The sequence below is a fragment of the Homo sapiens genome, chromosome 2 (assembly GCF_000001405.40).
Source record: "Homo sapiens chromosome 2, GRCh38.p14 Primary Assembly".
NCBI classification, from domain to species: domain Eukaryota; kingdom Metazoa; phylum Chordata; class Mammalia; order Primates; family Hominidae; genus Homo; species Homo sapiens.
In genome coordinates this window covers 174,011,506-174,024,979 of record NC_000002.12, presented here as the reverse complement: position 1 = coordinate 174,024,979, position 13,474 = coordinate 174,011,506, and the positions used below count along the sequence as shown (strand labels likewise).

At 46.0% G+C, this 13,474-nt stretch overlaps 5 annotated features.

The window, feature by feature from the left end:
* Positions 38-1,237: an enhancer, noted in NCBI's record as "P300/CBP strongly-dependent group 1 enhancer chr2:174888471-174889670 (GRCh37/hg19 assembly coordinates)". NCBI's record gives its function as "activates an origin of replication core promoter dependent on BRD2, BRD4, P300/CBP, MED14 and CDK7 cofactors, with strong dependence on P300/CBP, by STARR-seq in HCT116 cells {active_cell/tissue: HCT116}" and the evidence as "EXISTENCE:reporter gene assay evidence [ECO:0000049][PMID:35650434]".
* Positions 38-1,591: a biological region, named in NCBI's record as "P300/CBP strongly-dependent group 1 enhancer GRCh37_chr2:174888471-174889670".
* Positions 721-1,591: an enhancer, noted in NCBI's record as "NANOG-H3K27ac-H3K4me1 hESC enhancer chr2:174888117-174888987 (GRCh37/hg19 assembly coordinates)". NCBI's record gives its function as "activates a minimal SCP1, AML or CMV promoter by ChIP-STARR-seq in naive H9 embryonic stem cells {active_cell/tissue: H9 hESC(naive)}" and the evidence as "EXISTENCE:reporter gene assay evidence [ECO:0000049][PMID:30033119]".
* Positions 3,607-3,766: an enhancer, noted in NCBI's record as "active region_16770". NCBI's record gives its function as "activates an Ori minimal core promoter by ATAC-STARR-seq in GM12878 lymphoblastoid cells {active_cell/tissue: GM12878}" and the evidence as "EXISTENCE:reporter gene assay evidence [ECO:0000049][PMID:35858748]".
* Positions 11,883-12,122: a silencer, noted in NCBI's record as "silent region_12122". NCBI's record gives its function as "represses an Ori minimal core promoter by ATAC-STARR-seq in GM12878 lymphoblastoid cells {active_cell/tissue: GM12878}" and the evidence as "EXISTENCE:reporter gene assay evidence [ECO:0000049][PMID:35858748]".

Genomic DNA, 13,474 nt, shown 5'->3' with positions numbered 1-13,474 from the left:
TTTTACAGGTCACTGGATAAACCTACTTAGGCGGTTTGGAAGAGGATTAGGACATTTGTGGCTCTTCCAAGTTGACTTTCCAGGCAGGATCAGTCAGCAGCTGGAGACTCCCCTGGCTTGGGGCCAGCGCTCTTATAAAGCTGCAAGTTTTTAAGGGCCTGGTAAGCACAGTTATCCAAGAAACAAAGTTTGCAGCGAAATTAAAATGCAAATATCCCAAAGCAAGGCACACATTCCCGAGCTTGCCTGCCCAGAGACAAGCCAGAAAACTCAGCAGCCCAGTTCCCTAGGGTGAGGGAAACAGCTAAAGTGATTTAGTTACTTTCCCTGCCTCAGCCTTGAGCAACTTTCTTAACCCCTATTGGGGCGGAATAGACTTGAATAGCTAGGAAATTGCCTAAGTGCAGGAGATCCCCTTAGAGAGGAGGCTGTAGCCATTAGCCACAGGTAGCTCTGTAGATTATCATTTAAAATTCAGTGTTTCGGTCTCACTAGCCACATTTCGTGCTAGTGACTGCCACATGCAGGAGTGACTGCCACATGAGACACTGCGGATCAAATGAGCATTCACTCATTCATTTCACAAGTTAAATTTATGGAGTGACTCAGCAGTGACAATGAGCAAAGCATATAAAATCTCTGCCCTCGTGGAGTTTCTGTTCTAAAGGGGAAGGTGAACACTAAAGAAACACCATGTGTGAGTCACTTTTTTTTCTGTCCATTGCAGTCCCGGGGCGAAACCGATGACGTACTCAATTGAGTAACTGAGAAGTGTTTAATAATGGGAGGATTTACTAAGATGTGGGCAGAGATCAGAGAAACAAGGCATAGTGCAGTCCTCACCGCAGGAACCATCACCGTGGCCAGGCCTGCAGGGGCAAGCACAGCTCCAGTTCCCAGCCAGGGCACCAGTGAGAAGAGCCAGGGAGGGGCTGCCTGACAGGAGCAACGCCCCTGCAAGAGAGGGGGCCCTGGAGGCAAACTGGTGGGGGAGGGGCCTAAGTGCTCTCAGCCCACTCCCCTCCCTGGCCTCCCACTGGCCCAGCCCCAGGGAAGCCAGAGGCCGGGTGGAGAGGAGTGGAGGGGAGTACCTGGCAAAATCATGCAGTCTAGGAAACCCAGCAGGGTGGGAGTAGAGTTTGGAGTAGAGGGCTCCTGGGGGGAGGGCAACTAGGAAAAGGAATGGCCCGAAGCACCGGGGCTGTCTCACCGCCATCCTCCCCACCCCTCCTTCTCCTGTCTTCCTATGACCTTCTGTCCCCTTCCCCAGGCCCTTCTGTCGTCTCTGTGGCTCTGCTTTCTGCCACATGTCACATTCTCTCTCTGGGCACCCTCGCAAGTGCCTTGGAGCCAAACCAGGGCCGCTCTGCTGAAACTGAGTCTCTGTGCTCTGTTTACCTAGGAGCATAGACAGGAATGTTTTTTGTTTTTTATGTTAAATAGACTTTACTTTTTAGAATAGTTTTAATTTTACAGAAAAACTGAGAACATTACAGAGAGAGTTCCTATATACCCCACCCCAGCTTCCACTATTATTATTATTGTTTTTCAGACAGTCTCACTCTGTTGCCCAGGCTGGAATGCAGTGGCGTGATCTCGGCTCACTGCAACCTCCCCCTCCTGGGTTCAAGCAATTCTCCTGCCTCAGTCTCCTGAGTAGATAGGAATACAGGCACCCGCCACCACACCTGGCTAATTGTTTGTATTTTTAGTAGAGACAGGGTTTTTGCCACGTTGGCCAGGCTGGTCTTGAACTCCTGATCTCAAGTGATCCATCCGCCTCAGCCTCCCAAAGTGCTGGTATTACAGGGGTGAGCCACCACACCTGGCCCAGTTTCCCCTATTACTAAATATCTCACACGAGCATGGTATGTGTTAGTTTATACCATCAACTGGACCTGTCTCCTTGCCTACTCTGCCGCTTCCTAACTCTGCTGCCTGTTTTCTCTAATTCTCTTCCAGGTCTTCAGAAACTAACAGAGAAAAATCATAGAACTGTGGTGAGTGAGTCCAGTCTAGTGAGAGAACAAAGGAAGCATTGCATAGTTACAAAGCAATCAACAAAGGCAAGGTAGTTTCAACAGCCTCCTACCTAAAGCACAGGGGCTTAGGTAGGAGGCTGTGCTTTAGGTAGGAGGCTGTTGAAACTTTTCTTTCTTTTGAGAGAAGATCTCGTTCTGTCTCTCAGGTTGGAGTGCAGTGATGTGATCATAGTTCACTGCAGCCTCCAGGGCTCAAGTGATCCTCCCACCTCAGCTCCAAGTAGCTGGGACTACAAGTGCACTCCACCATGCCTGGCTAATTTTTTAATTTTTTTTTTTTTTTTTTTTGTACAGATGGGTCTCACTTTGTTGCCCAGGCTGCTCTTGAACTCCTGAGCTCAAGTGATCCTCCCGCCACAGCCTCTCACAGTGTTGCGATTAGAGGCATGAGCCACTGAACCTCACCTCTGGTCTCTCAACTTCTGCGCATTCCCCTCCACAAAGACATCCCAGAGCATTCCCTTATACCCTTCACTCAGCTTCACCTAAAGGTAATATCTTACATAACCATGGTATAGTTATCAAAACTGAGAGATTAACATTAATACGGAACTATCAGCTGAACTACAGACTTCATTCAGATTTCACCAATTTCCCCACTCATCCTTTTTTTCTGTCCTAGAATCCAATCCAGGGTCTCACATTGTATTGAGTTGTCCTGTCTCCTTAGTCTTCACCAATATGTGATGGTTTTAAAGGCTTTCTTTGTTTTTCGTGACCTTGACACTTTTAAAAGTTATGGTCAGGTATACTGTAGGATGTCTTTCAGTTTGAGATTGACTAACGTTTTCTTATGAATTTTGGGGAAGAATATCACTAGGGGAAGTGCCTTTCTCATGACATCCTATTGGGGGTACATGGTATCAGCCTGAAAGATTACAGGTGACGTTAAGCTTGATCACTTGGTTAAGGAGGTGTCTGCCAGGTTTTGCCTCTATGAAGTTACTAATTTTCTTTTTCAATACTCCATTTGTTAGAAGTAAGTCACTAAGTCCAGCCCATACTCAAGGGGAAAGGAATTAAGCTCCTTTTCTAGAGGAAGGAGTATCAAAGAATTTGTGGACATACGTTAAAACCACCACAGTGACTTATTAATGTTTTTGGGTAGATACTTTGAGGCTATACAAAGATTCTATTTCTGCTTAAAGTTTCACCCACTAATTTTAGTATTCATCAGTGAATCTTAGCTGCAGCAGTTATTACTGTGGTGTTCAAATGGTGATTTTCTACTTCCCTCGTGCCTTCTACCTTTATCATTGGGAATCCTGTAAGGACAGTTTCTCTCTTCTACTCATTTATTCATTCAATCATTTCTTTATATCAGTATGCACTATGGAGATTTATTTTATTCTTTGGGTTAGAATCCAGTACTGTTTTTTTTATTGCTCAGTTGGTTTCTGTTTATGACTCTGCACACTTTTTGGGCTTGCTCCTGTGTCCTTTTTGACATGACTTCCTCCTTTTTTGCATTTTGCTCTGTTTGGTGTTTGTTTTGAGCACTCCTTTACTTTCTGTCAAATGCTCCAGGCTCACTGTGTATTTTCTGCCCCAGCTGCCCCAGCCCTATAATGCACCCTTTCACAGAGGGCCTCTCGGTGCATTGCAGACTTCCCTGCTGATATGCTAGTGACTTTAGTTAGGATCTGCTGCTCTGCCAGGATCAGAATCCTTTCCTTACCAGCACAGCTCTCACAGTGGTAAAGAGTCTGACAGGCCCATTGTCCCTGCCCTGGCACGTAGGAGGTATGTGACTTTGGGCAAGTTATTCTATGTCAGCCTAAGTGTTCTCGTCTGTAAAATGGGAAATGACAATCCTCCTTCCTTATGGGGTTCTTGTGAGGATTAAGTGCATGTGAAGCAGGTCACATGCCTGTCATAAGTATCTAATAAGTGTTGATGATAATGAAGATACAACTGCTTCTGCTCCGGGTGATTGGTTTTAAGGGCCTGGACTCTGGAGGCAGACTGCTTGGTTCTGCAATCTTAGTACAACTCCCCGTGCCTGTTTCTCATCTGTAAAATGGGGATAATCGCATAGAGTTTTTGGAGGATTAAATGAGTCAATATACACAAAGCACTTGGAACGGTAGATACTTTGTAGGGTCTAGCGTATAGGAAGCACTTGTTAACTGTTAGCTATTACTGTTTTTGTTATTATTATTATTATTATTATTATTATTGAGATGGAGTCTCACTCTGTTGCCCAGGCTGAGTCCAGTGGCATGATCTCACCTCACTGCAACCTCCGCCTCCCGGGTTCAAGTGATTCTCCTACCTCAGCCTCCGAAGTAGCTGGGATTACAAGCATGCACCACCACACCTGGCTAATTTTTGTATTTTTAGTAGAGATGGGGTTTCACCATGGTGGCCAGGCTAGTCTCGGACTCCTGTCCTCAAGGGATCTGCCCACCTCAGCCTCCCAAAGTGCTGGGATTGCAGGCGTGAGCCACCATGCCAGGCTTGTGATCATTATTCTTGCAGGCTAAATCTCTGGCTCCTTTGGTGTTATCCTACCCTTGGTTGGTGGGCCAAGCAGTATGGTAGAATATTTATCTAGTTTAGGAAACTATGACATTTAAAGGTAATAGATTGTTCAGATCATATATCCTTTCTCCTGAGGAGGAAGGAGAACAGCCAAATTCAAATTCATAACTAGTTAGATCGCCATCATGTGCTGCTGACATTTTCTCCTCTGAGGTGTTGACAAATGGCTGTGACGGAATTACTCAATTCACATTTGTCTCGCACTGATGCATGAGGCCCAAACGGCCAGCAGCTTTGGGGAAACTCTTTGTAAATCCATCACATTTGGCCATTAAAAAATGATAACTATGATCAGCCAATGCTGAGGGACCCATTTTGTGGAAAAAAGAAATGGAACCAACACAGTTAGTGACACAATAATTAGGACGCAGGGGAGACTGCTGACAATTTGGAGATGTTTTCTTGGAGAAAATATCAAATGACTTACAATTTGCAGGACATTAATAGATAATTAAGTTGGCAATTTGTTGCTGCAGGGTGACAGTTGTGGCCTCTCCTCTGTGCACAAAGAGTCAAGCATCCAAAGGCAATTCCTGCTCTCTCTTAATTGCAGGAGAGAGTGTCATGAAAACTCTTTCCCTCCCGGGAATGTTGGGATTTTCTTTGATTTTCTTTATCTTTCTTTCTTTTTTTTTTTTTTTTGAGACAGAGTCTTGCTCTGTCACTGAGACTGGAGTGCAGTGGTATGACCATGGCTCACCGCAGCCTCGACTTCCTGGGCTCAAGCGATCCCCCCCACCTCAGCCTCCTGAGTAGCTGGGACCACACCTGGCTAATTTTTTTTTTTTTTTAATTGCACATACAGAGTCTCCCTATGTTGCCCAGACTGGTCTTGAACTCCTGGGCTCACACAATCCTCCTGCCTCAGCCTCCCAAAGTGCTGGGATTACCAGTGTGAGCCACCGTGTCTGACTGGGATTTTCTTATTATTGGTGTGAAAATGCAGCCAAAGCTGCCCTCAAGGAAGAGTGTGGAGGGGAACTGAGGTGAAGGAAGGTCCTCCGGGCTCAGGAGCAGAGTCCCTTTCCGTCTTTCATCTCACTCTCCTCTGCCTTCCTCATCCCCACTGTGCCCTCCCTCCTGGAAGCTGATTTGAGCTGTTCATTTGACAAACGTTTCCCTGAACAACCCTCAGGTTTTGCTTTATCCACAAACCATATGGGTTATTATTCGTTTAACATTTTTCTTTTAATAAATTCACTTCAAAACATGAATGCCCAATTTCACTTCCTCCTGAACAATGATATCCATGGAGCTACAGGGCTCTGATGACACTGAGAAATGCCACTTGACCTCTGCCAATGGCTGCGTGGGGTCTCCTCTCTCTATTTGGAAAAATCCACTGTGACCTGGCTGGGAACAGGAACAGAATGGACAAGGGCCTATAGGAGAAAACCAGGCTCTTGGTTTTCTCCAAAATAAGACAATGATACTGGTGGCAAGCGCTTCTAACACTAAGGGACATGTCTGTTCCCACTGACAAACATTAGGATTCCCGATGTCCAAGAGGATGGAAGCCAAGGTGGCTGGGGAAAGAAGGGATGGAGGTTGTTAAACGACGCAAGATTCTGTGGGGTGGAGGCAGGTAAGTGGAGGCAGGAGGCCAGTGATGTTACTACTGACTGCATGGTCCAGATGAGGGATGAACTAAACCAAAGTAGTTTGTGGAAGCAAAGAGGAGATAACGGACTACCTAGATCAAACTTGATGGCTGACCCGATGCGGGGGATGTAAGAAGAAGAGGAGCTTATGACTCCTGGGTTTCTAACACAAGTAACAGATATCATAAACAAAGATAGGAATGGGGAGGAAGAGTGGATTTGGAGTCCAGCTGATGCATTCTGCTATTCACATGAAGAGTTGGAGGGATCTGTGGGATACCCTTTTGGAGATGTCTAGTCTTTGAAGACCATGACCTAGAGTTCAGGACAGATGGATGGGCTTGAGAAACAGATCTGAGTCCTAGTGTCCATGTGATAAAAAGAAGCTGTGGGCACCTGTAATCCCAGCACTTTGGGAGGCCAAGGCAGGCAGATCACTTGAGGTCGGAAGTTTGAGACCAGTCTGGCCAACACGGTGAAACCCTGACTCTACTACAAATACAAAGATGGCCGGGCATGGTGATTTACGCCTGCAGTCTCAGCTACTCAGGAGGCCGAGGCTGTAGAATCGCTTGAACCTGGGAGGCAGTTGCAGTGAGCCGAGATCACGCCACTGCACTCCAGCCTGGGTGACAGAATGAGACTGTCTAAAAAAAAAAAAAAGAAGCAGCAGCTGTAGGTATGGATGACCTCATCCAGGAAGAAGAGACAGAAAGCAAGCATTAGTTGTTTTTTTTTTTCCCCAACAAAACAAGGTGCATTTTTTATTATGGTAAAATCCATATACTATAAAATTCACCATTCTAATCATTTTAAAGTATATAATTCAGTGGCATTTAGCACATTCCTAATGATGTACAATCATCACCACTGTATAATCTGTGAACATTTTAATCACCCCCACAGAAAACTCTGCACTAGTTAAACACCCTCTCTGCACCCCCAGACCCTAGCAATTAGTAATCTGCTGTCTGTCTATAAGGATTTTCCTTTTCTGGACATTTCATGTATATGGAATGATACAACATGTGGCCTTTTGTGTCTGACATTTTTCATTTAGCATAATGTTTTTAAGGTTCACCCATGTTGTAGCATATATTTTTACTTCATTCCTTTTTATGGCTGAAGAATACTCAATTATATAGATATAACACAATTTGTTTATCCATTCATCAGCTGATGGATAATTAGGTTGTTTCCAAGGGATTCACTTTTTTATTGATGCATAATAGATGTATATTGTTTCGAGGTGAAACAACTTATTACATGTGATAATTTATTACATTCATATAATTTGTAAAGATTGAATCCATGTACTTGGGATGTCCATCTCCTTAAATATTTCCCTTTTCTTTCTGCTAGCACTTTATTTATTTATTTATTTTTTGAAACGGAGTTTTTTTTGCTCTTGTTGCCCAGGCTGGAGTGCAATGGCGTGATCTCGGCTCACTGCAACCTCTGCCTCCCAGGTTCAAGCAATTCTCCTGCCTCAGCCTCCCAAGTAGCTGGGATTACAGGCATGTGCCACCACGCCTGGCTAATTTTGTATTTTTAGTAGAGTCGGGGTTTCTCCATATTGGTCAGGCTGCTCTCAAACCCCCAACCTCAGGTGATCCGCCTGCCTCGGCCTCCCAAAGTGCTGGGATTACAGGTGTGAGCCAACATGCCAGCCTTTTTTTTTTTTTTTTTTTTTTTTCTGAGATGGAGTTTTGCTCGTTGCCCAGGCTGGAGTGCAGTGGCACGATCTCAGCTCACTGCAACTTCTGCCTCCCAGGTTCAAGTGATTCTTCCGCCTCAGCCTCCCCAGTAGCTGGGATTACAGGCCTCACCACCACGCCCAGCTAATCTTTGTATTTTTAGTAGAGACAGGGTTTCACATGTTGGCCAGGCTGGTCTTGAACTTCTAACCTCAGGTGATCCGCCTGCCTCGGCCTCCCAAAGTGCTGGGATTACAGGCGTGAGCCACTGTGCCCAGCCTATGTCTTTTCTTTACGCTTATGCTTTTTGAATTCTTATCTATTTTGAAAAACTATAGTCACCAAGATGTAAACTTTTAATAAAGCAAGGAAGGAGAAAGAGGTGACTAAGGAGACTGAGAAAGGGAACTCAGAGAAATAGAAGACACACAGACTCTAAGGGAGAATGTTTCAGAAATGGAGGGTTTGGTAAGCAGTGTCAGATGATTCAGAAAAGTTCTGAAAGTTAATCGTTGAGGTTTTGGCCAAAGAGAAGACATTGGTGACCTTATCATAGGAGTTTTTCTGTGGAAAGGTGAGGGCAGAAGCTGGATGGTGAACAGGAGATGTGGTTTGGGGCAGGGAAGGTACTACTTTTATAAGAGATTAGACATGAAAGAGTAGGAGAGGATGAGATATGAATATGGGATAGTAGGAAGCATGTTTACTTGCTGGTCGGGAGAAGCCAGAGAAGAGAAGTTGGAGATTCCAAAGGGGAGAGGCAATGAAGGGCTCTGGGAAGCACATTAGAAGCACCTGGGAATCCCACCCAATTCAATTCAGATCCCTGGGGGTGGGACCCAGGCATCATCAGTGTTTTCTAAAAATGTCCCCAGGTGAAGGTATCAGAGAGTTGGGGGCTGCGAACCACTGAGAAAGACTTGCTGAGGATGACCTTAGAAGGAAGGACACGTTTATGCTAAGACTAGAGGAAGAATGGCTATAATGCAGGTGAGTTTACAGTGACAGCCAGAAAGCTGTGGGATTTAAAGTTAATTTTCTCAATGAAGCAGGCTAGGTTATCTGCTGAGAGACAACGATGGGGGTAAATCTCATACGTATTTTACACCCTCTGTCTGTGAAACTAGGATAATAGTACTTTTCATAGCCTGCATGAGTAAGGGCTGTATTAGGGCTTTTTTCCCTCTCCTTCCTTTCCCAAAAAATTCAGCGCCTGCCCCCAACAACATGAAAATTAAAATAATTTAATTTTCAGTCTTAACCAAACAAATCAATTACCTACTTTTTCCTCCTTGATATAATCTGAGCCACGTTGCTAGTCAAGCTGCCTGGATAGTATTTGGGTCCTTCTCTGGCATGCCTTCAGCAACTTTACTTCAATCCCTTAAAAACCAAAACCAAACTATAATTGAGTGACATGTCACTCATTTTGGGCACATGTCATTTGCCCAAAACAAATGCAAAGTGTATTGGTCAGCAATTTAAAGACAGAATTGGCAATGATATAAATATAATATATGTGCACCCCAGGCTTCCTCCCTAAAACTCAAGTCTTCTGAGAACCCAAAGGGATGGGATCATAAAACAGTATTTTAGCTTCAGCAAACATGTATTAATCGGTTCTTCTCACCATTTCTATTCATTTGCTTTGGAAAATTTAGAATGTTTTGCTACTCAGGTGGAGCCAAGTTTTTTGCTTTTGTTTTTTATGGATAACCTAGGGTACAGCAGTCTGATGACTTAGTCACATGTTACTATAATTGAAACAGTAAGACCCATTCATAGATATGTCAGCACATATTAAACCCATAATAAATATTTTTGGATAATTATGAAGCTTAGAAATTATTTACTTGGCATTTATGCCTCCTTTAGTGATAGCCACTATAGAGGGGTATTTCTCAGTCTTTTTGGATTCTTGTCATATTTTTGAATCAGTTTTGGTGACACAGGGAGGGTAGAAGTTATAAACTGGTAGCTCACAGAATGAGTCCTGATAGTCCTCTCCTAAAAGTTTGAATCAGGTGACAACATTTAAAAATTAGGTGATTTCACACAAGAATTCAGATTGCTGGCTTCTCTTGAAAAAGTGGGCGATGTGGTAACTTGGCCAGGCTGCCAACGATGGGTGCATGCTTCATGGGGCTCCCCCTTCAGACCAGGCCTACCTTCCCCAGTTCTCCACAGCCCCTGCCCCCACACCTTTGTGTCTGGTTTCTGGAAGCACTTGAGTTTGAGACCAGACCCCTATGTGAGGCCAACTGCCAGCTGCTCATGGTGAATAGCTAATTATATTGTCATGGTCACTGTTTGTGTTTATTTCCTCCAGTGACACTAGGGCTGGAGTATTACTTGTTTTATGTTGCTTGTGTGTCTATAGCCCTGTTCCTGGCACAAAAACACTCAATGAAAATTTGATGAATGAATCTAGGAGGGTCAATTCTTTGCAAGCATTTGGCAACCCATGAGGAAACTGAAATCGCAGTGTCAGAGCCTCAGGTAGACAGTGTAGAAATACAGAGTAAGAGATTAATCCAGCCTGCCTGTGAGGATAGGCTGGTGTTCACATGAATTTCTTGGCGGGTTAGTCCTGAAATGCTGATCCGATGGCTCTTTTGAATCACAATATGCATACCAAAGGCTATGAGGAATTCTGGAGTAAAACAGCAGCAAATAACTTGTTTTATTTGGTTTAACCGAATGCTTCCTAAATCTTCATCTACCATTTCACTATTTTGACATTCAATCTTTGATTTTCTGACATCTCCTGTTCCCAGATGTACTCAATGGCAAGTTATTTTTTTAATGATGGTGAAATTAAAGTGTCCTGGTTAAGACAATTTTGCAAGAATTTTGTGGCAGTCCCACAGGCCCCTGGGATCTTCCCTAGGGTATTGCTAAAACAGCATTGGGAAACATGGTTTTTTCACTGTGGTCTTGTCGAAAGTCAGGGTTAAACTATTCTTTTTCTTCTTTGGCTGGCCATACATCTCAAGATACAATAGCTTATATTTGTATGGCATTTTATAGTTTACATTATCACATGCATCATCTCAGTTTCTCCTCAAAACAACACGAACTGTAGGGATCATTACTCCATTTTCTTGCTTAAGGCCCTAAGCTAGCCAGAGGCAATGTCTAGATCTAAACTACTCTTTCTTCTAGATGTGCTGCTCTGCTGGTACCTCCAACGGATTTTTTCTTGAACATATTATTTAGCTTTTGGGCCAAATCACAATGTTGGGTGGAAATTTCTACGATTTGGGCGGGTTGTAATCTCTCCCCGCAAAATAAAATACTGATTGCTGTTCTGTAGTGAAGCATGGAAGGTCACCAGGGGAAGGCACTCAGATTGGACCTCCAGGGCTTGGAAGGCACACAGCGACGTCAGATCCCCTTGAAGAGTCCAGGACACAGGCGAGCTGGGGCTGACCTGGGCCTTTTGCTCCTTCACCTACAATCTTTCCCAGTCTCCACTGTGCCTCGGGGCCCCAAGTACCATCTGCGTCCAAACATTTTCTCTAAGGAGTTGGAATCTTGCCTCTTATTTCCCTGTCCTAGAGGAGGAGCCACTCATGTGAAAAGATCACGAGCCGAAAGGCCCTCCTCGGAGCCCGTGGGGGAGCCTTTCACGGGCTGGGCAGAGGCCACTTGCTCAGCTTTGCAGATCCTGGGTCCAGAAGCGCCGGGACACCGGCGGGCAGAGCTGCGGGGGTCCGAGTTCCACAGCTTCCAGCTCTGGGGAAGGGGAGGAGAGGGGCCTTCACCTCTACGGCTGACCCCCTTCCCTGAGGGTCGCCGGGGAGAGGAGGAGAAGAGACAGAGGGAGAGTGAAAGAGGGCAGAGAGGGAGAGAAGCAGGACGGGAGAGGGAAGGGGAAATGAGGGAGAGAGAGGGAGGAGGAAGCGAAAGAAAAGGGGACGGGAGGAGGGGCGAGGGGTTGGGAGAGCGGGAGGTTGGGACGCAGCGGGGAGGAGGCGAAGGCCTGGGTACGGGAGGAGAGAGGGCGCGGGAGGGGAGGAGGCCGGGCTGGGCCCTGGGAAGTCGCTGGCTGAGGCCGCCGGCAGTTTCTCCCGTCGAAGGGCAGCGTGAACCTCGGCTTCTTACTGCGCAGCCGGAGGCACCCGGGGCCAGGAGCGGAAGTCCGAGGGGACCCCACGGCGGAGGAGCGGCAGAGCCCGGGCCCCGCGGGAGAGAGAGGCGGGAGCCTCTCACACGTGGGTTTGCGGCTTCGGAGCGTGGCCAAGCCACGCTTTCGGTAGACAGCACAGGCCCAGAGTGCGTCCCAGTTCTGAGCTCGGACCTGGAAGGCGGGGTTCAGTGTGACTCATCAGACTCCTCAACCACCGCCTCCAGGGAGCCCCGGGCCTGAAAACGGGGTCTTCATTTCTGTGGGCTCCAAGTTGGAAACTTGCAGAGGAAGATGAGGGAGCTCACTTCTTCCGGGGTGGAAGGGGTGTGAACGCGAGCCAGCACCCGCGAAGGGTGAAGGTCCCCGGTTCAGGAAGCCCTCTCCCCAAACCTCTAGCGAGTGGTGGGGTGAAGGGTTAGGCCTATCTGAAAGGCAGGGGGCAGCTTGTCGAAGTTCAGTGGGGCAGGTGGCCCCCAGGGAAGCCCTGTCTTCCAACAGAACAAGTGCTGAGCATCTTAAAGAATGCACCAGAAGCTGGTGCACTAGCTCATGCCTGTAATCCCAGCGCTTTGGGAGGCTGAGGCGGGTGGATCACTTGAGCCCAGGAGTTCGAGACCAGCCTGGGCAACATGGAGAAACCCCGTCTCCACAAAAAATAATTTAAAAATTAGCTGAGTGTGGTGGGGCGCGCCTGTGGTCCTAGCTACTCTGGAAGCTGAAGTGGGAGGATCCCTTGAGCTCTGGAGGTCGAGGCTGCAGTGAGATGGTGCCCCTTGCACTCCAGCCTGGGCAGCAGAGTGAGATCCTGTCTCAAAATAATTTTAAAAACTCATACTTTTGTTTCTAGTAACAGTTGATCGGCGGATTCCACTTACTGTGACTATCCAGTCTCCTCTAGGCCTTTGGACATCTGAAAGGCAGTGTTAAGAGCCCAACTCTGGAGATGGACTTTGGCTCCACCACCAAGTATTAATAGCTCTGTGACTTGGGGCAAGTTACTTAACCTCCCTACACCACAGTTTCCACTGCTGTAAATTGGGGATGATGATAATAACAGCCACCTCACAAGGTTGCCTGGAGATTTGATTAAATGAAATAATTAGCATGGAGTTTATCTAGTCTTACCTGTCAGAGTCAAGAGCCTTCTTTCTCCTAAGCTGACCTTAGTATCTCCCCCTGTCCGCCCCCTTTACTTTGGATCCTAACTCATAAAACGGGATTGCTTGACAGTATGTTTTCTTTGTGTACAGATAGCTTGTTTCTTCAACCTACATTTTAAGTTCTTTCAACAGTCACTTTTATTTCTATGCACACTTAAAGGCACCAACTTAGTGCATTGCACACAACTTGTGTTCAATAAATTTTTGTTGATTGAATGATAAATAAAACCTCAGTGATACCTAGAAAGAGATTTTTCTAGAAAATTTGAAGGTATAGAAAAGAAAAACTCTTCATAGG